The 25,534-nt window shown below is 53.7% G+C and overlaps 1 protein-coding gene, 1 long non-coding RNA gene and 1 other non-coding gene across 3 annotated transcripts, besides 4 other annotated features; 2 read left to right on the forward strand and 1 right to left on the reverse strand.

The window, feature by feature from the left end:
• Positions 981-1,370: an enhancer, noted in NCBI's record as "active region_14870". NCBI's record gives its function as "activates an Ori minimal core promoter by ATAC-STARR-seq in GM12878 lymphoblastoid cells {active_cell/tissue: GM12878}" and the evidence as "EXISTENCE:reporter gene assay evidence [ECO:0000049][PMID:35858748]".
• Positions 1,098-12,610, forward strand: NOP53 (NOP53 ribosome biogenesis factor). The gene is made up of 13 exons (NM_015710.5): positions 1,098-1,335; positions 2,519-2,583; positions 5,730-5,838; positions 6,460-6,659; positions 7,072-7,142; positions 8,064-8,159; positions 10,079-10,183; positions 10,261-10,443; positions 10,900-11,075; positions 11,308-11,374; positions 12,080-12,156; positions 12,240-12,296; positions 12,551-12,610. The coding sequence occupies exons 1-13, from the start codon at positions 1,112-1,114 to the stop codon at positions 12,555-12,557; spliced, it is 1,437 nt and encodes a 478-aa protein (NP_056525.2). The 5' UTR covers positions 1,098-1,111; the 3' UTR covers positions 12,558-12,610.
• Positions 1,791-2,291: an enhancer, noted in NCBI's record as "H3K4me1 hESC enhancer chr19:48249496-48249996 (GRCh37/hg19 assembly coordinates)". NCBI's record gives its function as "activates a minimal SCP1, AML or CMV promoter by ChIP-STARR-seq in primed H9 embryonic stem cells {active_cell/tissue: H9 hESC(primed)}" and the evidence as "EXISTENCE:reporter gene assay evidence [ECO:0000049][PMID:30033119]".
• SNORD23 (small nucleolar RNA, C/D box 23) lies at positions 11,405-11,514 on the forward strand. The gene has a single exon (NR_003048.1). It is a non-coding gene; the product is annotated as a small nucleolar RNA, C/D box 23 (small nucleolar RNA).
• On the reverse strand, positions 12,588-24,392 carry NOP53-AS1 (NOP53 antisense RNA 1). Its single transcript, NR_132382.1, has 3 exons — positions 24,174-24,392; positions 22,293-22,371; positions 12,588-12,829 (listed from the first exon to the last, which is right to left on the reverse strand). It is a non-coding gene; the product is annotated as an NOP53 antisense RNA 1 (long non-coding RNA).
• Positions 21,704-21,998: a silencer, noted in NCBI's record as "tiled region #15394; K562 Repressive non-DNase unmatched - State 12:CtcfO". NCBI's record gives its function as "represses a minimal TATA promoter and a strong SV40 promoter by Sharpr-MPRA in K562 cells {active_cell/tissue: K562}" and the evidence as "EXISTENCE:reporter gene assay evidence [ECO:0000049][PMID:27701403]".
• Positions 22,740-23,000: a silencer, noted in NCBI's record as "fragment chr19:48270445-48270705 (GRCh37/hg19 assembly coordinates)". NCBI's record gives its function as "represses an EF-1alpha promoter that drives an FKBP-Casp9 reporter gene in an ReSE screen in HepG2 liver carcinoma cells {active_cell/tissue: HepG2}" and the evidence as "EXISTENCE:reporter gene assay evidence [ECO:0000049][PMID:32094911]".
• Positions 24,393-25,534: the final 1,142 nt, after the last annotated feature.

Consider the following 25,534-nt stretch of genomic DNA (forward strand, 5'->3'; position numbering starts at 1 on the left):
ATGCCAGACGCAGCCTTAAGCGCTTTACATATGTTTAATCTTCTGCATGACTTATGACGCAGATGTACTGTTATCATCTTTATTTTACAGATGAGGAAACTGAGGCACAGTGAAGTAGCCCGCTCAAGATGAATGATTCTGAGTCTGCACTTCTAGGGTCCTAAAAGTGTATGTTTCTAACATTCCTCTAATGTTCTGTGCTTCCAACTTTGATATTCCGAAAGTTACTTGATTTCTAAGATCCTAGGATTGGAACATTTGAGAGGACAAAACTTCTGAGATTGGAATGTGTGTTGTGCGGAATCTGCCACTGACGGTTCTGACTTTCTAAGAAAACGAGATTAAAAAATAATCAGGCCGAGCATGGTGGCTCACATCTGTAATCCTAGCATTTTCGGAGGCTGAGGAGGGAGAATCACTTGAGCCCAGGGGTTCAAGACCAGCCTGGACAACATAGTGAGACCTTTGTCTCTTAAAAAAAAACACACACACATCAGTTTGGACCGGGAGTGGTGGTGTGAGCCTGTAATCCCAGCGCTTTGGGAGGCCTAGGAAGGAGGATCACTTGAAACCAGATGTTTGAGACCAGCCTGGGCAACATGGGGAGGCTCCATTTCTACAAAAAATAAAAATAAAAAATTAGCCAGGTGCGGATGCACCCTTCTGTGGTCGCAGCTACTCGGGAGGCTGAGGTAGGAGAATCCCTGAGCTTAGGAGTTGGAGGCTGCAGTGAGCCATTACCCTTCCACTGCACTCCAGCCTGGGGGCAACAAAGTGAGACCTTATCTATTAAAGAAAAAAATCAGTTTGAGCAAAGACCCCAGGCGGCCGGGAAAGGTGTTCGCTTAAGGGCGAAAGCTAAGAACCTGCAACCTTCCCGTCTCTTTCCTACCACCCGCCGCCGTTAGGAATCTTCAGATCCCGCTGTAAAGAATGGAGGAAGGAGGAGCCATTTATCCTTTACCAAGATGGCAGCCTCCTGGCAACTCCAGTCACTTTATAAATATGGCTGCCACAGGAAGTACGTCACGGAAGAGGGTGGGAAATCTGCGCGCGCACGCTGCAAAGGGGCTTTTTGGGACGCCAGTGGCTGAGTTCTTCCTTTGACAAGATGGCGGCAGGAGGCAGTGGCGTTGGTGGGAAGCGCAGCTCGAAAAGCGATGCCGATTCTGGTTTCCTGGGGCTGCGGCCCACTTCGGTGGACCCAGCGCTGAGGCGGCGGCGGCGAGGCCCAAGAAATAAGAAGCGGGGCTGGCGGCGGCTTGCTCAGGAGCCGCTGGGGCTGGAGGTTGACCAGTTCCTGGAAGACGTGCGGCTACAGGAGCGCACGAGCGGGTACGTTGGGCGGGACTTCCGGGAGGTGGGACGGTTCCTGCGCCCAGGTGCAAGGCCAGGCGTGCTTGCGTGGACTCGTCGGGGGTCGGGGGTCGGGGGTCGGGGGTTGGGGGCTCCTGTCCCGGGGACCGCCGAGGAAATGGAGAGCATGGGCAGGGGACTCAGCATGGGAAGCTGGAGAGCTTGATAGAGTTACCAGATTTAGCAGATAAATATACAGGACGCTCAATTAAATTTGGATTTTAGGTAAACAATGAATAATTTTTAGCATAAATACGTTCCATGCATCCACCTTAGCTTGCTGTTTTCTAAATATGTGTGTGTGTGTATGTATATATGTGTGTGTATATATATGTGTATATGTGTGTATATATATATGTGTATATGTGTGTGTGTATATATATGTATATATATATGTTTTTCAGACGGAGTCTCGCTCTATCGCCCAGGCTGGAGTAGGCGCGATCTCAGCTCACCGCAACCTCCGCCTCCCAGGCTCAAGCGATTCTCCTGCCTCAGCTCCTTAGTAGCTGGGATTACAGGCGGGCGCCACCACGCTCGGCTATTTTTCTTTTCTTTTCTTTTTTCTTTTTTTTTTGAGACGGAGTCTTTCTCTGTAGTCCAGGCTGGAGTGCAATGGCACGATCTCGGCTCACTGCAACCTCTGCCTCCTGGGTTCAAGTGATTCTCCTGCTTCAGCCTCCCAAGTAGCTGGGATTACAGGCATGCACCACCACGTCCGGCTAATTTTTGTATTTTTAGTAGAGACAGGGTTTTGCCATGTTACAGGCCAGGCTGGTCTTGAACTCCTGACCTTAGGTGATCCACCCGCCCCGGCCCCCTAAGGTGCTAAGATTACAGGTGTGAGCCACCACACCCAGCCTAATTTTTGTATTTTTAGTAAAGGCAGGGTTTCACCATGTTGGCCAGGCTGCTCTTGAACTCCTGACCTCAGGTGAGCCACCCGCCTGGGCCTCCCAAAGTGCTGGGATTACAGGCGTGAGCCACTGCGCCTGGCAGTCCTTCCTAAATACTAAGTTCTGTAAACTGCTGGGCGAAGCCTTAGCCTGGAAGAGTCCGGTGGCGGGACTTGACTAAGCGGAAGATGAAGGCTGGACCTGCCAGGTTAAATCTCTTTCCTCTCCAACATCTCTGGCTGATGTTCTGCATTTCTGTCCCCCAGTGGCTTGTTGTCAGAGGCCCCAAATGAAAAACTCTTCTTCGTGGACACTGGCTCCAAGGAAAAAGGTGAGGAGAGGCTTTTGTGGTGTGGAATGGCGGTTATTCATTGTTAGTCAGCTTACGGTAGCCTCTGAGATCTGTGTTAATGATGTGGCTTGGAAGGCAAATATCTGCGGAAACAGGTCAACCTTAATATAAACAAGGGGACCTCAAATGGGCAGAAAGCAAGCTGGAGACGAACTTAGAGAAGGCAGGTTTTTCTTTTGAGATGTCAGTGATCTCCATGCACAGATAAGCTGCTGGGAGTCTGCCTTGATGAATAAGTTAGAAACACATTAAAGGATCTCTTTTTAGCTTGCAGAAAAGCAAGTCAAGGACCTGCTTAACTCAGTCCTGCCGGTTGCGGTGAGTCACGCCTGTATTCCCAGTACTTTGGGAGGCTCAGGCAGGCAGATCACCTGAGGTCAGGAGTTCGAGACCAGCCTGGCCAAGATGGTGAAACCCCGTCTCTGCTAAAAATACAAAAATTAGCCAGTTGTGGTGGCGGGCACCTGTAATCCCAGCTACTTGGGAGGCTGAGGCAGGAGAATCACTTGAACCTGGGAGGTGGAGGTTGCAGTGAGCCGAGATCGCGCCGCTGAACTCCAGCCTGGGATTACTATTATTTTTTTGAGACAGTGTTGCGCTGTCATCCAGGCTGGAGTACAGTGGTGTGATCTCAGTTCAAGCGATTCTCCTGCCTCAGCCTCCCAAGTAGCTGGGACTGCAGGCTGCACCATCAAGCCTGGCTAATTTCTTTTCTTTTCTCTCTCTCTTTTTTTTTTTTTTTTTTTTTTTTTGAGATGGAGTTTCAAGCCCAGGCTGGAGTGCAATGGCGTGATCTCAGCTCACCGCAACCTCCACCTCCCAGGTTCAAGCGATTCTCCTGCCTCAGCCTCCTGAGTAGCTGGGGTTACAGGCATGTGCCACCATGCCCGGCTAATTTTGTATTTTTAGTAGAGATGGGGTTTCTCTATGTTGGTCAGGCTGGTCTCGAACTCCTGACCTCAGGTGATCCGCCCGCCTCGGCCTCCCAAAGTGCTGGGATTACAGGCATGAGCCACCACGCCTGGTCAAGCCTGGCTAATTTCTGTATTTTTAGTAGAGATGGGTCTTCATCATGTCAGCTAGGCTGGTCTCAAACTCCTGACCTCAGGTGATCCACCCGCCTTGGCCTCCCAAAGTGCTGGGGTTATAGGCGTGAGCCGCTGCGCCTGGCCAAGATGAGCTTTAATAGGAATAAGAGGACTTGCTTTAGTGAGCGGGTAACACACGTCTTAACTTGCTTGCCTTAAGTTGCTAGAATGTAGGGTGGGGATCTGCTGAAACAAGATGAGGCGTGAGGGAGGGATTGCTCTGGTGAGTAATAGTGTTTACTTCAATATGTAGAAAAACAAACTAAGAACAGATGATCTGCTCTAATGAACAGCCTGGAAGCAAGCGAAGGGGTCTGCTTTAATGAGCAAGAGAGTGAGCTTGTGTGAGATCAGTCAAAGGGTATGTTTTAATGAAAATGAGCGGACCTGGTTCAGTGACCAGATAGAGTGGAAGGAGCTGCCCTGAGGTACAGGAGACTTCCAATAGGCAGGTAAAAAGTGGTTATTAGAGTCTGGGTGCAGTGGCCTACACCTGTAAGCCCAGCGCTTTGGGAGGCCGAGGTGGGGCGGATCACTTGAGGTCAGGGGTTGGAGACCAGCCTGGGCAGCATGGCGAAACCCCGTCTCTACTAAAAATACAAAAACTAGCCGGACGTCATGGTACACGCATGTAATCCCAGCTACTGAGAAGCGCTTGAACCCGGGAGGCAGAGGTTGCAGTGAGCCAAGATCATACCACTGCACTCCAGCCTGGGCGACAGAGCAAGACTCTGTCTCAAGCTGGGCGTGGTGGCTCACGCCTGTAATCCCAGCACTTTGGGAGGCTGATGCGGGTGGATCACCTGAGGTCGGGAGTTTGAGACCAGCCTGACCAACATGGAGAAACCCCGTCTTTACTAAGAGTACAAAATTAGCCGAGCGTGGTGGCGCATGCCTGTAATTCCAGCTACTCAGGAGGCTGAGGCAGGATTGTTGCTTGAACCTGGGAGGCAGAGGTTGCAGTGAGCCAAGAGCGCATCATTGCACTCCGCTCCAGCCTGGGTTACAAGACTCTGTCTCAAAAAAAAAAAAAAGTGGGGGGTTATTAGAGAAGTCAGCCTTGACCGAAGTGAGTTGATCTGGTGTGTGAGTGTAAAGGGTAAGTCAGTGACCTGCCCGTAATGAACAGATGGGAAAGTAGTTACCGGCGTGCTTTGGCGAGTGGGAAGCCTCTTTGGGGGGCAGGAAAGAGGCAGTTTATGGGTTCCACTTTAGTAAGGAAACACGGACAAAGATCATAGTGGTTGTGAGCAGTCAACCAGGTCAGCCCCTGTGCTTTGTGGGCCTTAAATGATTACATCTTCATAACGGCCTAGTGAGGGAGGTATCCACATCCTCATTTTGGGGGCACGGAGGAGCTAAGCCTCTTGTGTGAGGTCCCACAGTCCATGCAAGGGTGTTATTCCATTCTAGAGTGTTTTGCTGTAGAGTTACTGCTTTTAACTGTTAGGCTTTTGAAGTAAAAACCACAGGTATCTTTGTGGGAGGAAAAAGACAGTAAAAACCAGAGAACTAGAAGTTATGCTGAGAAGTGGCCATCCTGGGTCCCAAGTCCACTTCTGTGGCCCTCCCTGGGCTTCAGTGTCAACTGATGACTTGCTTTCTTCCTTTTTTTTTTCCCCCTGAGATGAGATCTCACTATGTTGCTCAGGCTGGCATCAAACTCCTGGGCTCAAGCGATCCTCCCACCTCAGCCTCCCAGAGTGCTGGGATTACAGGCGTGAGCCACCATGCAGGGAAGAGGTTCCCTGTTTGTCTGGAAGACCCTCCTATGTGGCTGTGGGCGTGACTCTTCGTGTCCCCAGCATGGGGCCTGCCTCCTGCTGGCCCAGCACTTGGTTGTGGAGGGTCAGAGCTTGGGCACCTTGGGCCCCATCCTTAGGGGCCTCTACCTCCAGGTAGGAGCCTGGGGACCTCCAAGTCTCCTGGGGTGACTTGGGATTCAGGTCTGATGGCTCCCATGGAGGTGAATAGGGTGGGTGGTCTTTGGCAGTGGGTAGGGCTGAGGCCTTGACTTGTTCTCTTTCCCATTCTTAGGGCTGACAAAGAAGAGAACCAAAGTCCAGAAGAAGTCACTGCTTCTCAAGAAACCCCTTCGGGTTGACCTCATCCTCGAGAACACATCCAAAGTCCCTGCCCCCAAAGAGTGAGTGTCCCAGCATCCCTGGGCCCTTCTTTCCCACCAGACTCTGGTCCTAAAGGGTTTCCGGGGCTGGGGGCTGGTAGGTGAGGGTCATTTGAAGGGTAGGGCAGGCTCAGGTTTGGGCTTCGGAGTGCAGATTAGAGGGAGGGAGTCTGGGTGCCCTGGTGCTGGGCCGAGGCAGGTGAGGAGGGGCCTGGACCCAGCTGGGGGCTTCGGGGTTGGAGAGGAGGGGCTGAGTGGGAGGCGTGTTCAGGAGGCACATCAGGTGGGTCTTGGGGCATGAGCGGGTGAGAGGGTGGACAGCTGGCCTTCCCCTGAGATGGGGATGTGGAGGAGTGGGATTTCGGGTGATGCTGAGGTTGGTTTTGACGTGGTGGTGTGAGGTGCCTGGGGTATGTCCAGGACGGGGCTGTTGCTTCGTTGAGTCTGGGGCTCAGAGGGGAGGCCTAGGCTGGAGACAGACGTGGGGAGAGGAGTTCTCTGAAGAGGGGGCGGAGTGCCACCTTTTGGAGAGGGGGTGCTGAAGCTGCCTTAATGGTGGAGGAAGCCCGACGGGGAGGAGGCCCTGCTGCCGTTCAGGCTGCCACCTCACCTGCTGCACTTGTGCCCCCTCTCCCCGACCAGCGTCCTCGCCCACCAGGTCCCCAACGCCAAGAAGCTCAGGCGGAAGGAGCAGCTATGGGAGAAGCTGGCCAAGCAGGGCGAGCTGCCCCGGGAGGTGCGCAGGGCCCAGGCCCGGCTCCTCAACCCTTCTGCAACAAGGGCCAAGCCCGGGCCCCAGGACACCGTAGAGCGGCCCTTCTACGACCTCTGGGCCTCAGACAGTGAGTGATCCTGCTGTCACCTATGAATGGGGACAGGACGGCCATGTGCAGTTTGTGTGTGTTGTGCACTGCACGAGAGTACAGTGTGAAAGGGAGTGCTTTGTGGGTGCTTTGGTGACCTCCCAGCAGAGTCGTGCGTCCTGAAGGGGCGGCCGTTTCCCACTCGTGCTTTTCCTTTCCTGAGTTGTGAGGCTTCAGGAAAGGAAGCCTTCAGCTTTGGTCTCTTCCACTTTCTGAACCCGTCCAGACACAGTTTTGTCCTGGTGATCAAGGCCCTTGGGGTCTAGAATCAGTCCTTCCCTTGCCTGAGCTTCAGGGTCACCTTTTTGAAATGTGGAGGGATTGGGGGGGAGCCTTTGGTGCCTCTTCCATGCTGGGACTGTCCCAGCAGCTCCCCTCGCTGTATCCACAGACCCCCTGGACAGGCCGTTGGTTGGCCAGGATGAGTTTTTCCTGGAGCAGACCAAGAAGAAAGGAGTGAAGGTGAGATGTGTGGGAAGGGCATCCTGGGTGATGGGAGGGTGAGGAGGGCCGGGAGCTGCTCTGTGTTCCTGCAGTAGAGTCTGTCTCAGAGCCCTTCCATCCCAGTGGCCGAGAACTCTGTGCTGGAGCCAGGTGGCTGGGATTCCTGTCCCAGCTCCAGTGCTGACTGATCCTGGGAAGGTGGTCTCACCTTTCTGCAACCTATATCTTCCTCTAAAATGCAGATGAGGGCCGGGCATGGTGGCTCACGCCTGTAATCCCAGCACTTCGGGAGGCCGAGACAGGTGGATCACCTGAGGTCGGGAGTTTGAGACCAGCCTGACCAACGTGGTGAAACCCTGTCTCTACTAAAAATACAAAAAAAAAATTAGCTGGGCTTGGTGGCACGTGCCTGTAGTCCCAGCTATTAGGGAGGCTGAGGCAGGAGAATCGCTTGGACCAGGGAGGTGGAGGTGGCAGTGAGCCGAGATCATGCCACTGCACTCCAGCCTGGGCAACAAGAGCGAAACTCTGTCTCAAAAAAAAAAATAAAATAAAATACAGATGAAATTGTACTTAGATCATGGGTCGGTGGGGAGAATGTAAAGAGGTAGCACATGAGAAGGTGGAGCCCGTGCTGGCAAGTGGCAGAAGTGTCACGGGTTTGAGTTTGGATTTGCAGCCTCCTTCTTGAGCTGCTGGACCCCAAGTGTTAGAGCCCAGGTGCTTACAATCTCCGGGGCTCAGCCTCGTGGGTAGCAGAGGATAGGCTGCTATCCTTTTTCTGAGATGGAGTCTTGCTCTGGAGTCACCTGAATGCCCCTTGAGCTCTTCCCACACCCAACCACTGGCAAGGCCTGGAGCATCTGCCCCATGGCTGTGTCCTGGGTCACCCGCAGCCCCAACGCACGGCCTTACCCTGCCTCGGCCTTTTCTCCACAGCGGCCAGCACGCCTGCACACCAAGCCGTCCCAGGCACCCGCCGTGGAGGTGGCGCCTGCCGGAGCTTCCTACAATCCATCCTTTGAAGACCACCAGGTACACTGCCCCGTCCAGGCCTCCCTCCTCAGTGGGCTCTGCCTCTTGGTCAGGCCTTCACTAGCTTCCTCCCTGTGCTGGGAACTCCAATGACCCAGACAGCCCTGGGCCTGTCCGCAACGGGGCTCACGGTCCAGTGCAAGAGACCTGTTCCCAGACAGTGATGGGCAGAGTGGTTGGGGCTGGGAGCCCAGACGGGGCACCTGGCCCAGCCTGGGGGGTCAGGAAGGGCTCCCGGGAGGAGGGGTCGCCTGAGCCGAGGCAGAGGCTGAGGGAGGGGTTTGCAGTGGGAGGAGGGGAGTGGGTTTTCCAGGTGGTGGGAACAGCACTGCAAAGGCACAGAGTTGAGAGAGACCGTGGCGCCTTCCAGGAAGCCTGTGGGGCAGAGATGAAAAAGGCTGTGGTGACACGGTGGCACACTGGCAGCCAAGTGACAGTTATATATGGGCGAGGCTAGCTCAGCGATGGGAAAGTCTAGCTGGAGCCACTGTGCATTTAGCGGGCATCTGTTGAGCACAGATGCTGTGGACAAAGGGGACAAAAACCCCTCCCTTGGCCGGGTGCGGTGCCTCACACCTGTAATCCCAGCACTTTGGGAGGCTGAGGCGGGCAGATCATTGGAGGTCAGGAGTTGGAGACCAGCCTGACCAACATGGTGAAACCCTGTCTCTACTAAATACAGAAAATTAGCAGGGCATGGCAGCACGCATCTGTGGTCCCAACTGCTTGGGAGGCTGAGGTGGGAGGATTGCTTGAGCCCAGGAGGTCCAGGCTGCAGTGAGCTATGATCGCACCACGGCACTGCAGCCTGTGTAACAGAGCGAGACTCAAAAAACAAGCACAACCCTCCCTCAAGGAACAGCCCTTCTCATGGGGTCACGTGACTGGAGAGATGCTGAGATGTTTGCGGTAGATGCAGGACCGCTTGTCCGAATCGTTTTCAGCATTCATAAGAAGGAGATAGCTAGCCAGGAACAGAGGCAGCTTCCTCATCTGGTAGAGAAAAGTGTCTGCGGAAAAAAGCAACAGTGTGCTCATGGTTGAAAGCGTGAGGGTGCCGCTCACTGCCATCTGTTCCTGGACCAGATGTGGGAGGGGGCGTGGAGATCAGACATTCACTTTTAGATTTGTACAGAACTACTTCGTAGAGATAAAATTCACTTAACCATACGGTCAGCCTAGTTAGAGTATGTGATTCAGTGGCTTTTAGTGACCATTGTGTAACCATCCCCGCAGTCAATTTTAGAACATTTTCACTGTCCGTAAAGGAAACCTCACACATGTCAGCCATCACCCCCGCAATTCCCTGTCTCGTGTGGTCTTGGGCTGCCAGGCTTCCTGTCTCAGGGACCAGCCCACCCTGACCAATTCACATAGATGAAACTGTGGGCCGGGCATGGTGGCTCACACCTGTAATCCCAGCACTTTGGGAGGCCGAGGTAGGTGGACCACCTGAGGTCAGGAGTTCAAGACCAGCCTGACCAACATGGAGAAACCCCATCTCTACTAAAGTTACAGAATTAGCCGGGTATGGTGGCACATGCCTGTAATAGTAGCTACTCGGGAGGCTGAGGCAGGAGAATCGCTTGAACCCAGGAGGCGGGGGTTGTGGTGAGCTGAGATCACACCATTGCACTCCAGTCTGGGCAACAAGACAGAAACTCTATCTCAAAAAAAAAATGTGAAGCGTGCAGGTCAGACTGCCTTCACAGACGTGCAGAGCAGGTGTGAGGGCGAGGGTTTGAGGTGCCCTCTGGCTCTGTGCAGGGTGGGTGTGCTGGTAGACGGGGTGTGGGGAGGAAAGCCTGGGCCGGGGCGGGATCCACGGGCACTGGATGAGGGACAGATGGGAGGTAAGAGGGTCTAGTCTCAGTGTCCCAGGAGGGGTTCAGGGACCCATCCTCACTCCCGCCCCTCAGACCCTGCTCTCAGCGGCCCACGAGGTGGAGTTGCAGCGGCAGAAGGAGGCGGAGAAGCTGGAGCGGCAGCTGGCCCTGCCCGCCACGGAGCAGGCCGCCACCCAGGTGAGCCCCGCACCTGCCCACTCCCTCCCCTCCCCGGGCCTCCTACCCACCCCTGACACTGCACCCCGCCTCCCCAGGAGTCCACATTCCAGGAGCTGTGCGAGGGGCTGCTGGAGGAGTCGGATGGTGAGGGGGAGCCAGGCCAGGGCGAGGGGCCGGAGGCTGGGGATGCCGAGGTCTGTCCCACGCCCGCCCGCCTGGCCACCACAGAGAAGAAGACGGAGCAGCAGCGGCGGCGGGAGAAGGCTGTGCACAGGCTGGTGAGCGCCTGGGCCAGCGGGGCCTGCCTCTGATGCCTCGCCCCCTTCCTTCCTTCCTCCCACCATGGGCTGCCCTGGGTGCTGCGGGCAGCCTGCACACCCCAAGCCCCGCATGTGGCCTGTGGTTTGGGCTGTTTGGGATCCTCACAGCTGAGACTCATTTCCCAGCCTCTTCCAGGCAGGGCTCGGGCTGGGGTGGGACAGGGTCCCTGGCGCTTCTGTTTGAGGGGCGGGGTGGGGGGAGGTTTCTGCACCGCAGACCAGGGGAGATGGATGACAAAAGGGGCTTCAGCAAACAGCTGCTGGGAAGGCACTGGAGGGGCCGCTGATGTGACGGGGTTAGGAAGGGCCTCCGGGGACAGGCAGGTTTGTGCAGGGAAGGCTCCCTGTGTAGAGAGAAGGTCTCCCTGTGTGGGCAGCACCGGCCTGAGCCCTGACCCTCCCCCGTCTCCACAGCGGGTACAGCAGGCCGCGTTGCGGGCCGCCCGGCTCCGGCACCAGGAGCTGTTCCGGCTGCGCGGGATCAAGGCCCAGGTGGCCCTGAGGCTGGCGGAGCTGGCGCGGCGGCAGAGGCGGCGGCAGGCGCGGCGGGAGGCTGAGGCTGACAAGCCCCGAAGGCTGGGGCGGCTCAAGTGAGAACCAGGCCGGGGGTTCTGGGAGAGGCTGGGGAGGGGGCCGGGTCCCAGGTCCTGACACCTTCCTGCCTTTGTTCAGGAACTGCCCACCCCCCCCATCGGGAGACCACCTCTTCCCCCACAAAACCCCACATTCTCAGAGGCCCCTTCTTCTCCAGGAGGGGGCTTTGGACTGGGTGTCCTGGGCCCCGCGGGGGTGATATTTCTGAACACCCGCCCTGTTCTGCAGGTACCAGGCACCTGACATCGACGTGCAGCTGAGCTCGGAGCTGACAGACTCGCTCAGGACCCTGAAGGTGCTCACTGTGTCCTGCCGTGGAGCCCCGTGCCCAGTGATGACACCATCCTTGCTCCCCGTGCCCCCCAGGGGCTATGGGCGACACCATGGCTGCCCCTGGGCTGGGCCAGTGGGGCCAATGCCCAGGGGCTGAGGGCACGGGATGCTGGGATGAGATCCCAGGGTGAGGGGCCAGGCTAAGGTTTGAGTCCGGGACCCTAAGAAGGCCTTTCCTTCCAGCTGGTCCCTGTTGCAGTCCCGGTCACCTTTAGGACTAGAGGGACCTTCCTGAAGCTCAGAACCAACCCTGTCCCTCCCCTGCTCGGAACCTGCTGTGGCTCCCCAGTGCCCCTGAGGAAGCCCAGCTCCTCTGTCAGCCACACGCCTGGGCCGACCCGGCCGTGGGGCTCCAGCCAGTTGTGCTCATGAGCGGACTGTGCCTTCTCCCTCTGATCCAGCCTTTGCCCTCGCTGTCCCCTTTTCTGTGTCGTCACCAGCCCACTTCCCGTGACTCCTCTAAGCCCAGCTTAGAGATGGCCATAGGTTGGTGGCTGTCATCCCAACACTGAGCCCCAGCAGCTGAGGGCCAGGCTGAGTCCCTGGTGCCCACAGGCTGCCCTGGGGGGAGACTGCATGGGGCTGAGCCCTGCCAGGACCCCGAGGAGAGGTCCAGGCCCTTGGGCTTCTGCCAGGCCCTGCTGAGGCCTCCCTCTCTGTCCTGTAGCCCGAGGGCAACATCCTTCGAGACCGGTTCAAGAGCTTCCAGAGGAGGAATATGATCGAGCCTCGAGAGAGAGCCAAGTAAGGGGCGGCCGGGGCTGCTGTGGGGCGAGGGCATCTGGGATTGGCCCCGGGCACTGATTGCTCCATTGTCCCTGCTCCAGGTTCAAACGCAAGTACAAGGTGAAGCTGGTGGAGAAGCGGGCGTTCCGTGAGATCCAGTGAGTCCACCCGGCTTCGGCGCAAGGAAGGGAGCCCTTCTCCCACCCCGTGGTGCCCACCGAGTCCCAGGGCCCCTTCCAGAGTGTGGCTAGTGGCTGAGCCACACCCCCTTGGCCATGCCCAGAAGAGGCCCTGAAACCAGAGCGGGGTTGGGAGGGTCCCCAAAGGGAAACTGAAAGGCAGGGGGTGTCAGGTCGGCAGGGGGTATGGGGCACCCTCTCACCCACCCTCAGCTCCTTTCCTCTGTCCCCAGGTTGTAGCTGCCATCAGATGCCGGAGACTCGCCCTTCAATAAAAAATCTCTTCTAGCTGATCAGTGGGCTCCACGTGTGGCTTGTGTGCCTCCTGCGGGCGGCTGCTCCCGGGTGCAGACTCTGCGTGTCCCCCCGTGGCGCACAAGCATGTAGGTGCCAGAACTCACCGCCAGAGCCTGGTGAGGGCCTAGGGTGTGTCTGAAGGGGTCATCAGCCGACTGGATCGTGGTCTGTCCAATAGCTGTGAAGCTGGCAGCCCTTCCAAGCCTGGGCAGATCCTAAAAAGACAGCAGGCAGAGGGCGCAGGGCTTATGGCCTGGCCGGAGTTGGGAGGTGAAGCAGAGGGCACAGGGCTTATGGCCTGGCCGGAGGTGGGAGGTGAAGCAGAGGGCGCGGGGCTTATGGCCTGTCTGGAGGTGGGAGGTGAAGCAGAGGTGAGGAGGAGGTTCCCCCACTGGATTCCGACTTGGAGAATAGCCCAGTTCCTTCTGCTGCGGGTGACGTAGCAGCTCTTGCCACACTGATAGAAGGAGTGGTGGCAGCTGACCTCTGCCGATAGAACACCTGCTATCGGGTTTAAGCAGGTGGATTCACTCACTGAACTCACAGCGGCCTAACCAATGAGGGCTGTACTTATTCCCATTTTAAAGGTGAGGAAATAGGGCTGGGCACAGTGGTTCACTCCTGTAATCCCATCACTTTGGGAGGCTGAGGCGGGCAGATCACTTGAGCCCAGGAGTTTGAGACCAGCCTGGGCAACATAGCCATACCCTATCTCTACCAAAAATTCGCCAGTTATGGTGGGATGCAGCTATGGTCGCAGCTACTGGGGAGGCTGAGGTGGGAGGATCACCTGAGCTTGGGAGGTGGAAGCTGCAGTGAGCCATGATCACGCCATTGCACTGCAGCCTGGGTGACAGAGGGAGACCTGTACCAAAAACTTAAGTAACAAAGGTGAGGAAACAGAGGCACATAAAATGAGGTAATTTTCCTCCCTTCTGTGCCTATTTTGAAAACGTTTTTAAAATCTTTACAAGAAACGAAAAACTTATTCTCACTGTAAATCATTGTCAAAACGTGTCTGTCACTGTTGACCTTTGCCCTCCAGTCACATCCACGCCCCTGTTCTGGAGCTGCCTGTCAAGCAGTCACTGCAGTGTGGTTTGAGTGATTATGCTCCCTGTGTGATTCTATTAAATTACATAATCGATTAGCCAGGCATGGTGGTGTGCACCTGTAGTCCCAGCTCCTGGGGAGGCTGAGGTAGGAGAATCGCTTGAACCTGGGAGGTGGAGGCTACAGTGAGCTGAGATTGCGCCACTGCAGTCTCTCCTGGATGACAAAGAGGACCCTGTCTCGACCCCCCCACCCCCCAAAAAACTAACGTAAATTTCACGCATGTACTTGTGAGGATAGAATTGGTTTTTTTTTTTTTTGGTGTCTTAGGATCACACTGTGCGTGATTCTGCAGCTTGCTGTCAGTGCATCTTGGAGGTAATTCTGTGTCTGTACAGAACTGCTTCCTTCTGTTTTGTGGCTGTGTGGAATCCCATTACGAGGGTGTGCCTTGTGTTTCTTAACCAGGCCAGTGTGGCTCCTCCTAATGAAACCGAAACAATGTCTTTGTCCACGTGCCTTTTTACTTGTGTCTGTAGTTAAGTACCTGGAAGTGAATCTTGGCTGAAGGATACATGTGTCTGTAACAGGTCATTTGATAGGTTCAACCCAATTGGTCTCCAAAGGGGCTGTGCTGATTTTTACTCTCTGGTAGCATAGGAGGAGCCTGCCTGTTGCCGTGTAGCTTTGCTACGGTGCGATTCCATTATTTTTATTTGATTGTGTCTGGTTACCAGTGAGGTTGAACTTTTTTTTTTTTTTGAGGTAGGGTTCCCCAGGTGGGAGTGCAATGGTGCAATCCCAGCTTCTTGGCTCACTGCAGCCTTGACCTCCTGGGCTCAAGTGATCCTCCCACCTCCGTCCTCCCAAGTAGCTGGGATTACAGGCACATGCCACCATGCCTGGCTACTTTAGTATTTTTATTGAAGATGGGGATTTGCCATGCTGCCCAGGCTGGCCTCAAACTCCTGACCTCAAGCGATCCACCCACCTTGGCTTCCCAAAGTGCTGGGACTACAGGCATGAGCCACTGTACCTGTCTTAAACATCTCCTTATATGATTGCTGACCATTCATTCACATTCCTCTTCTGTGTTGGTACAAACCTTTTGACCATTTTTCTCCTGTGCTGTTTGTCATTTTCTTGTTTATTTGTAGTAGCTCTTTATTTATTGTGGACCCACAGTCTGTCATACACGTCGCAAACATTTCCCCTAGGCTGCTTTTGACTTTTGACTTTGTATGTGGTGTCTTTTGTCAGGAAGGAAGGGTGTTACGTTTTCTGTTGGTCTTTCTCCGTTTTATACTATGGCCTTTGGGAAAGCTTCTCTAGGACAAAATGTTTATAAAAATAGAGCAGGCAGTTTATAAAAGAAATGAGTGAGGCTGGGCATGGTGGCTCATGCCTGTAATCCCAGCACTTTGGGAGGCTGAGGCGGGTGGATCACCTGAGGTCAGGAGTTCAAGACCAGTCTGACCAACATGGAGAAACCCCGTCTCTACTAAAAGTACTAAAAAATTAGCCGGGTGTGGTGGCGTGTGCTGGTAGTCCCAGCTACTTGGGGGGCTGAGGCAGGAGAATTGTTTGAACCCGGGAGGTGGAGGTTGCAGTCAGCCGAGATAGTGCCACTGTACTCCAGCCTGGGCGACAGAGTGAGACTCCATCTCAAAAAATAATAAAATATAATATAAATAAATAAATAAATAAAATAGAAGGGAGAGACTTACGTCAGAACTTCCCACCTCCCCACCACATGCCACAGAACAAGGCTTTAAGGAGCTATTTCTGCTGTTCTTCCCCCTCCCATATTAAATAAAAAGGTGTGTTCTGCAGGTAGGAAAACAGCTGTGTGTGTGTGTGTTGGGGGCGGCGGGGGGTGGATGTGTGGACGATAGAGCAGTAGGGAGAGGTAAAAATGAGGCCGGGCATAGTGGCTCACACTTGTAATCCCAGCACTTTGGGAGGTGGAGGTGGGTGGATCACCTGAGGTCAGGAGTTCGAGACCAGCCTGGCCAACATGGCGAAACTCCATCTCTCCTAAAAAATATAAAAATTAGCTGGGTATGGTGGCACGCACCTATAGTCCCAGCTACTTGGGAGGCTGAGGCAGGAGAATCACTTGAACCTGGGAGGCGGAGGTTGCAGTGAGCTGAGACCGCACCACTGCACTCCAGCCTGGGCAACAAGAGTGAAACTCCATCTCAGGAAAAAAAGAAAAAAAAAAACACCATCTATCAAGGAGGCCAGCCTCTGACCCAGTGACTCTGCCAGGGGTGACTGAAGGAAACTGCTGGAAATGGGGAGGAAGCTCTTAATGCCCGGACACGGCGATTGGAGCGTCGGGCACATTCCTGGATACCCAGGGGTGAGGGTGGTCACAGCCACTCAAGGACAAACTCTGTGGCCTGGACACTTAGTGTCCTCAGGAAGTCCTTGGTATTTAATTGCCTGGGAAAATGTGTCTGTTTCCGTGTGTGAAATGGGGGGTCCACAGCAAAGGGGTTTGTGGGTGTTTGCACAGAAATGACATTTCACATCCGAATTTTATGTCAGAAGCCTAAAAGTACAGAATTCAGCTGGGCGCAGTGGCTCACGCCTGTAATCTTGTCACTTTGGGAGGCCCAGGCAGGAGGATTGCTTGAGGCCAGGAATTGGAGACCACCCTGGGCAACACAGCGATACTCCATCTCTAGAAAAACATTTTTTAGGCCGGTGCAGTGGCACTTGTAATCCTAGCACTTTAGGAGGTTGAGGTGGGTGGATTGCTTGAGTCCAGGAGTTCAAGACCAGCCTGGGCACCATGGCAAAATCCCACTGGTTTCTACAAAAGATGGAAAAAATTAGCCAGGTATGGTGGTGTGTGCCATGTAGTCCCAGCTACTCAGGTGGCTGAGGTGGGATGATCAGCTGAGCTTTGGAGGTTGAGGTTGCAGGGAGCCAAAATCTACTGCCTTTCAGCCTGGGTGACACAGTGAGACCCTGTCTCAAAAAAAAAAAAGTTTTAAATTATTTAGTCATGGTGTTGTGCTCCTGTAGTCCTTGCTACTCGGGAGGCTGAGGCTGGAGCCCAGGAGGTGGAGGCTGCAGCATAGTATAATGATGCCACTGTGCTCCATCCTGGGTGACAGCGAGACTAAAACAAAATACAGAACTCTGGCTAACAATTTACAAGCCGAATTTCACTAATGTCTGCAGTTTCCTTTGAAAAATGTAAAACAGGCCTGGCGCGGTGGCTCATGCCTGTAATCCCAGCACTTTGGGAGGCAGGCGGATCACCTGAGGGTCAGGAGTTTGAGACCAGCCTGGCCAACATGGTGAAACCCCATCTCTACTAAAAATAGCAAAAGTTAGCTGGGTGTAGTGGCAGGGCGTCTGTAATCCCGGCTAGGCTACTTGGGAGGCTGAGGCAGGAGAATTACTTGAACCCCGGAGGCGGAGGTTGCAGTGAGCTGAGATCACGCCATTATACTCCAGCCTGGGCAACAAGAGTGAAACTCTGTCTCAAAAAAAGAAAAAGAAAAAAAAAACGTAAAACAAGGTGGATTAATGAACAGATGCCCCATAAAACAAAAGCACTGAAATGTTAAGGGCAGAATCTAGGTGGTGGGGTATGGGGGTATGCACAGAAAAATTCCCTTGACTTTAACTGAAAGTGTCCTAATAGGGAAATGGCACATTGGGGTTTCGGGGCCATGTAATGGCACAGGTTTCTATCATGGCCCTGCACCTGCTTTTGAGTCTGTAACTTGGTATTATTTTTCCTAAAGCGGGTCCTCCAGATTATAAAAGCCTCAGGCATCAGCCAGGTACAGTGACTCACGCCTGTAATCCCAGCATTTTGGGAGGCTGAGGTGGGTGGCTCACCTGAGGTCAGGAATTCGAGACCAGCCTGGACAACATGGTGAAACCCCATCTCTACTAAAAACACAAAAATTACCCAGGCGTGGTGGCAGGTGCCTGTAATCCCAGCTACTCAGGAGGCTGAGGCAGGAGAATGGCTTGAACCCAGGAGGCGGAGATTGCAGTGAGCCGAGATCATACCATTGCACTCCAGCCTGGGCAACAGAGTGACACTCCATCTCAAAAACAAGACAAAACAAAACAAAAAGCTTGTGGCATGGGTATGACTTTGCTTTTTAGAAGGATGGAGACCAGACGAATGTAGTGGCTTGCTCCTGTCATCCCAGCCCTTCAGGAGGCTGAGTTGGGAGGATTGCTTGAGGCCAGGAGTGAGACCAGCCTGGGCAACATAGCAAGACCCCATCTCTAAAAGAAAAAAAAAATGAGCTGGGCATAATGGCATGTGCCCATAGTCTCAGCTACTCAGGAGGCTGAGGTGGGAGGATCTCTTGAGTCCAGGAGTTTGAGGCTGCAGTAAACGGTGATCGTGCCACTACACTCTAGCCTGGGCAACAGAGTGAGACCCTGTCTATTTTTTTTCCTTTTTGAGTCTCGCTCTGTCACCCAGGCTGGAGTGCAATGATGCGATCCTGGCTCACTGTAATCTCCGCCACCCTGTCTCTTTAAAAAACAAAAACAAAAACAAAAACAAACCATGGAGACCATCTGTAGGCAGCAGTATGGGGTTGTGAAGAGCATGGTGGAGTCCGTGTCCTGATTTCAGACCCGCTCTGTTACATACTGGCTGTGTGATGTTGTGCAGGTTACTCAACCTCTCTGTGCCTCAGTGTCATATCTGTAAAATGGACATAACAATAGTGCTTATCTTGCTGTGGGTTATTACAAGGATGAGTGAGTCTGCACGGAAAGCGATCGGAACAGGCCCTGGCACAGGGGAAGCTCTAGGTGAGCATTTGCTGTTATAACAATGTTAGGGTAGGGGAAGATGATTTTAAAAAGATGCAGAAACTTGCAATTTGTGCCAGAGGCTCCTCCCAAATGCTCTGACCCTTTGACGCAGTGATTGCACGCTTGGGAACGTGGCCTACAGAAACAGCCGGAAGTTGGGGAAGAGCATTTTGCACAGGCCGGTCCTTGAGAACGTTCTGCAGAATGGGAGGAAACGTGGTCATGGACATGGGGCGGGCCCTGGCCACATGGACGCCACCTCTGTGGCCATTAACTGAGGGGTCGGAAGTGCCTGCAGCCACTGGGAGGTGTTTGTGTTTGGATACTTTGTGGGAAAAAGCAAACAGGATCTGCTGCCGTCCACACTGGCGTTCATCAGACAAACCCCCATGCCAAAAGTCTCTTGAGTGGGAGGATTTCAGAGGACTCCTTCTTACTCTTTTTTCCAGCATTTCCAATTTTTTTTTTTTTTTTTGAGAAAGGGTCTCATTCTGGAGCACAGTGGCTCTGTCTCAGCTCACTGCAGCCTCAACCTCCTGGGCTTAAGTGATCCCCTAAACTCAGCCTCCTGAGTAGCTGAGACTTACAGGCCCACGCCACCATGCCTGGCTAATTTTTTTCTTTTTGTATTTTTAGTAGAGACAGGGTTTTGCCATGTTGCCCAGGCTGGTCTCAAACTCCTGACCCCAAGTGATCCACCCACCTCGGCCTCCCAAAGTGCTGGGATTACAGATGTGAGCCATTGAGCCAGGCCCCAAATTTTCTGTAATGGAGCAAACTTGAAAAAAAAGGAATCGACAGGATTCTTCCTTTGTTTTTGTTTTTGAGATAGAATCTTGCTCTGTCCCCCAGGCTGGAGTGCAGTGGCACCATCTCGGCTCACTGCAACCTCTGCCTCCCGGGTTCAAGCGATTCTCCTGCCTTAGCCTCCCGAGTAGCTGGGATTATAGGCATGTGTCACCACGCCTGGCTAATTTTTGTCTTTTTGGTAAAGACTGGGTTTTGCCATGTTGGCCAGGCTGTTCTCGAACTCCTGACCTCAGGTGATCTACCCGCCTCGGCCTCCCAGAGTGCTGGGATTACAGGTGTGAGCCACCACGCCCTGCCTGGCGGATTTTTATTTTCTTCCTTAGATCTGCTTTTCTGTGTCCTCTCCACGTGCTCCCACGCTCTTCGTGGTGGTGGGTGCTGGGTGGGCAGGGCTGACCTCCCTCCATCCTTTCATCAGAGGTTAGAAGCAACATCTGTATTTCCCAGACACCTCAGCAGCTGGGATTCTGGATGAGAATTCGGTGCCAACAATTAGAGACACCCTGTGAGGCGTGGACGGCAGGAGTGATCCCGGAATTGCAGCTGGACCTGGCGTCCTTGAACCGAGCAGTTCCAGCAGCGGAACTGGAGACAGCAGTGCCCCTGCTGGGTCAGTTCAGTGCTGTCCTGGGTGTCATTTCTGAGGGCTTGGCCTAGAGCTGCTGCTTCCGCTTCCCATGATTTTTTTTTTTTTTGAGACGGAGTCTTGCTCTGTCACCCAGGCTGGAGTGCAGTGGCGTGATCTCAGCTCACTGCAAGCTCTGCTTCCCTGGTTCACGCCATTCTGCCTCAGCCTCCCGAGTAGCTGGGACCACAGGCGCCCGCCACCGTGCCCGGCTAATTTTTTCAATTTTTTTTAGTAGAGACAGGGTTTTACTGTGTTAGCCAGGATGGTCTCGATTTCCTGACCTCGTGATCCGCCCGCCTCGGCCTCCCAAAATGCTGGGATTACAGGTGTGAGCCACCGCGCCCGGCCAGCTTCCCATGATTTTGTAAGCACTCAATTCCCTGTAAGATACCTGGAGTGGTTTCTATTTAGGTGCTAGAGACAATCATGCATTACAGTTTTTTTTTTTTTTTTTTTTTTTTTTTTTTTTGGAGACAGGGTCTTGCTCTGTTGCCCAGGCTGGAGTGCAGTGGTGCGATCATGGTTCACTGCAAGCTCCACCTCCCCAGGCTCTGGTGATCCCCCCACCTCAGCCCCCCAAGTAGCTGGGACCACAGGTGCATGCCATTATGCCTGGCTAATTTTTGTTATTTTAGTGGAGATGGGGTCTCCCCATGTTGCCCAGGCTGGTCTCAAACTCCTAGACTCAAGTGATCCTCTTGCCTCAGCCTCCCAAGGACCGAATTAAAGGCATGAGCCATCTTGCTCAGACTCCTGTCTCTATTTTTTTTTTTTTTTTAAAAAAAGGCTGGGCGTGGTGGCTCACGCTCACGCCTGTAATCCCAGCACTTTGGGAGGCTGAGGGGGGTGGATCACTTGAGGTCAGAGGACTCCTGGCCAACATGGTGAAACCCTGCCTCTATTAAAAATACAAAAATTAGCTGGACGTGGTGGTGGGCGCCCGTAATCCCAGCTGCTCAGGAGGCTGAGGCAGGAGAATCACTTGAACGCGGGAGGCAGAGGTTGCAGTGAGCTGAGATCCCACCACTGCACTCCAGCCTGGGGGACAGAGCGAGACTCTGTCTCAAAAAAGAAAAAAGAAAAAAAAAAATCCATGTTAATGGGTAGACACAACTCAAGTGAGAGTAGGTTTTGGGGCAGAGAAATTCAGATGAGGCTTTGGCTGGATTAGGCCTGAGCTTCCCGTTTGGCTTGTGAACGGCGATGTTGCTGAGCTGGCGGACACAGGAACCAGAGCTCTGGGGACCTGGCAGGGAGAGATGTGTGGTCAGCGTGTGGGTTTGTGGCATTTGAGGCAGTGGGACTGGGTAGGAGTTGCACGTAGACCAAAGGTGACAGGTGAAAGGCAGGGAGGTCTGGGGGAAGGAGAAAAAGGTGGGGGGTGGGGACCAGCACAGGGCACTGAGCAGAGGTGGCGGGGAGGGTGTGGGAGAGAATCGGGGCTGCGGATGAGCTACTCCCCAGCCTGCCCACACAAGGCTGGAAGGCACCCTAGGAGGGTCAGCCAGGAGGCCGGGGCAGGGTATCCATTGCTGAGAACTGCCCGGGGAGGGGGTGTTCAGGGCTGGGAGCAACCTCATAGCACCACCATGGTCCTGCGTGATCAATAATGCCCCCACTCCCTGATCCTGTGTGACCATCAAATGCAGGGCCGCCCAAGTTCAAGGAGAATCTGGACGTGGGAGACAGTGGCCGCCAGGAGGCGCCTTGAGCCTGTGCCAGGAACCAGACAGTCTGGGAGGTCCCAAGCGGCCCTAGCTCTCCTGTCACTCCTGCTCAGGATCCCTCAAGGGGTCACACTGCAGCAGGCAGGGTGACAGCTAGACCCTGGGAGGGCCAGCGGGTTAGTGCTGCTTTCTGAATGGGCAGGAGCAGGTCCATGGAGACCGCTTCCTAGGTCTGTCCAGGGGGCCTTCTGGAGGTCTAGGGGCTGTGGCTTGGGGGTCAGTTGGTGAGACTTGAGTGGCTCACACTGGTTACAAAGGCCTCCACACTGGCCCTGACCGGGACTGCGGCCCACTGGAGTTGGGGAGCGGGAGCCAGCAGGGGTTCCTGACCTGGAGAGTGGGAGACGGGGGGTTTAAGGTAGAGGGTGAGCAGGAGGGAAGGGTGTGGATTCTGGCAGTGGGCCTGGAGGCGGACAGGGGTCCCTGGCCATTAGGGCCATGTGTCTGCCATGGTGGGGGCAGGGCGAGAAGTTGCTGAGACAGATCTGTCAAACCCTTGCCGCTTTTCAGTGAGCAAGGGTGTCAGGCTTCACCCCTAACAACCACCCACCTGTCTTTTCTCCCATTGCCAGTCTGGGACCTTACCTAGAACCCCTAGGGGCTGAAGGAATGTTTCCCCCTCCAGGGACAGAATTTCAGGGTGTCACATACCCAAAGCTGTGGTGGTCTAGGATTCCACATAGAGGTTCTGGGCTTCCAGTCCTGTGAGTCACCAGAGGTAGTAGGGAACCTAAGGAAGGAGAGACGAGAGATAGAGGGAGACAGACTCAGGGAGATGACGTCAGAACATCTGGATCCAGCTGTGCCTGAAGCCCTCCCTTAGGCTTTTCCATTACACGAGCGAAGTGCTTAAGCCAGTCACAACTCGGCTTCAGACACTTATGAGCAGAACTTACCTGAAACATGCCCTGATGTCCCCTCCCCCATCTCAGCTGCTTTCCCCAGGCTTCGCTTCTGCCCCTGTCACTGGCGGGAGTCCATCCAAACCTTGAGTCTGGCGTTCAAGTCTGGCCGCCTCACCCCTCCTCTTGTTGGCACATCAGCCTTGGGCCCCTCTCCCTGGCCCACTGGGTTCCTGCCCCTTTGTCCTCAAGCCCCTCTACTCCAGAAAGTCAGCCTGAATTGCACCCTTCTCCCCACCCCACCCACGTGAAGTAGAATCAAGAGCAATACCGGGCTCCCCACCTAAAAGCTGGGGGGTTGGTTTCAAGTCTTCTCAGTCCGATTATTCCCATCTGAACTCCATGAACAGGGAACTACAGCTTCTCCTCTGACATCCTAAACATCTTTAACTATTAGGGGTCATGTGAACCTTGTATGCAGAAGGTGCTTAATCAACGCCTGCTGATGCAGGTGATACAGGGCATTGGTTAGTAGCATGGACTCTGGAGCCAAGCTCCTGGAATCACATCTTGGCTCCATCCCTTACCAGCTGTGTGTCTTTGAGGAAGTTAACCTCTCTGAGCCTCAAGAGAGAGAATACTAGTGTCTATCGTTAAATGAGGTAATACCTATTACTTTATTTATGCTGTAAATGCTGACAGCAGTGCCCAGCACATTGCCAAGTGCTGTGTGATTTTTACTATATAAGGAGCTCAGAAGAAAAGGAAAGAAAAAGGACCACAATCAATTCCTTTTCTTTTTTTTTTTTTTTTTTTTTGAGACGGAGTCTTGCTCTGTCACCCAGGCTGGAGTGCAGTGGCGTGATCTCTGCTCACTGCAATCTCCACCTCCCAGGTTCAAGTGATTCTCCTGCCTCAGCCTCTGGAGTAGCTGGGATTACAGGCGCCCGCCACCACGCCTGGCTAATTTTTCTATTTTTAGTAGAGACAGGGTTTCACCCTGTTGGCCAGGCTGGTCCCAAACTCTTGGCCTCAAGTGATAGGCCCGTCTCAGCCTCCCAAAGTGCTGGGATTACAGGTGTGAACCATGGCACCTGGCCAGTAGAGTCTAGATTTAACTCCCAGTTTATAGAATATACTAGGGACAGAGGAGCATGTTAGATGACACCACAGAGTGAAACCAGTCAAATCTAGACAGTAGGAAACCCAATCAACCTGCTTTCTTCAACAAATGAATGTCATTTAAAAAGCTGAGTGATTGGCTGGGCACAGAGGCTCACGCCTGTAATCCCAGCACTTTGAGAGGCCAAGGCGGGTGGATCACGAGGTCAGGAATTCAAGACCAGCCTGGCCAATGTGGTAAAACTCTGTCTGTACTAAAAATACAAAAATTAGCCAGGTGTGGTGGCATGTGCCTGTAGTCCCAGCTATTTGGGAGGCTGAGGGAGGCTGAGGCAGAAGAATTACTTGAACCCGGGCAGCAGAGGTTGCAGTGAGCCAAGATCATGCCACTGCACTCCAGCCTGGGTGACAGAGCGAGACTCTGTCTCCAAAAAAACAACCAACCAAAAAACTGAGTGATTACTTCCACGTCAAGACACAGATATTGAGGAGGGTAGAAGGCACTGCCGTGACTAGACTGGAATCCAGGCCATCTGAAGCCCCAGGTGGGCAGAGATGCTCTGGTTACCTGGACATCCTGAATTCCAGAATTCCAGCAGGTGTCTACTTAGGGCTGCCACCTCCTTGCAGTTGATTTTTGGAGCCTCTTGTTGCCTCTGGCTTGAAGGCCCAGCTGTCTTTCTAGGTGTTTTCCCAGTGGGCATGGAGCTGCAGCGTGGCTGCTGGGAGCAGCACTATGTCTCCCTGCCCACTAGCTGGAGCTCCAGCTAGATGTGAACCACCAGGCAGGCGCAGTTGCTGCTGGTGTCCAGGGAGCATTGAACAGCAGGAGGGACTGAGGGTAGTAGGAGAGAGGAGAAAGAAGGTGGGTGTGAAGGACAGGATGTCATATCAGTGGTCTTCCTTCTGGGAGGAAACCTCACCTGGCTAGACTCCTGTCCACTCACCTACTTGCCCATCAACCCATTTATCCACCCAACTGCCCACCCATCTGTCCACTCATCCATCCATCCATTTATTCATCCATCCATCCATCCATCCACTTATTCATCCAGCCACTCATAATCCACTATTCATCCACTCATCCATTCACTAATCCACTCATCCATCCATCCATTTATTCATTCATCCATCCATCCACTCATCCATCCATCCATGGGCAACCATCATCAATGGCTGCTAAAACCATTTGGTTTAGGCCGGGCATGGTGGCTCACGCTTGTAATCCCAGCACTTTGGGAGGCTGAGGCGGGCAGATCACTTGAGGTCAGGAGTTTGAGACCAGCCTAACATGGTGAAACCCCATCTCTACTAAAAATACAAAAATTAGCCGGGCGTAGTAGCGGGCACCTGTAATCCCAGCTACTCGGGAGGCTGAGACGGGAGAATCGCTTGAACCCGGGAGGCGGAAGTTGCAGTGAGCTGAGATCACGCCATTGCACTCCAGCCTGGGCAACAGAGCGAGACTCCGTCTCAAAAAAAAAAAAAATCATTAGGTTTAGCATCCACTCATCCATCCATCCATCCATCCATCCATCCATCCATCCACCCACTCATCCATCCAATTATTCATGCACTCATCCACTTGTGCATCCGTTGATCCATCCATCAATCATCCATCCATCCATCCATCATCTATCCATCCATCCATCATCCATCCATCAATCATCCATCCATCATCCATCCATCCATCCATCCATCCATCCATCCATCATCCATCCATCCATCCATCCATCCATCCATCATCCATCCATCCACCCGCCATAGACATAATGTCAAGGGAAAGAATCCAGACATAAAGAGTACACAGTATGTGATTACGTTTATATGAAGTTTGAGAACAGGCCAAACTGATCTATGGTGAAATAAGTCAGGCCAGTGGTGACCCTTATGAGGGAATTAACTGGGAGGATGTGTGAGAAAAACTTG

Source organism: Homo sapiens, chromosome 19 (assembly GCF_000001405.40).
Source record: "Homo sapiens chromosome 19, GRCh38.p14 Primary Assembly".
NCBI classification, from domain to species: Eukaryota; Metazoa; Chordata; class Mammalia; order Primates; family Hominidae; genus Homo; species Homo sapiens.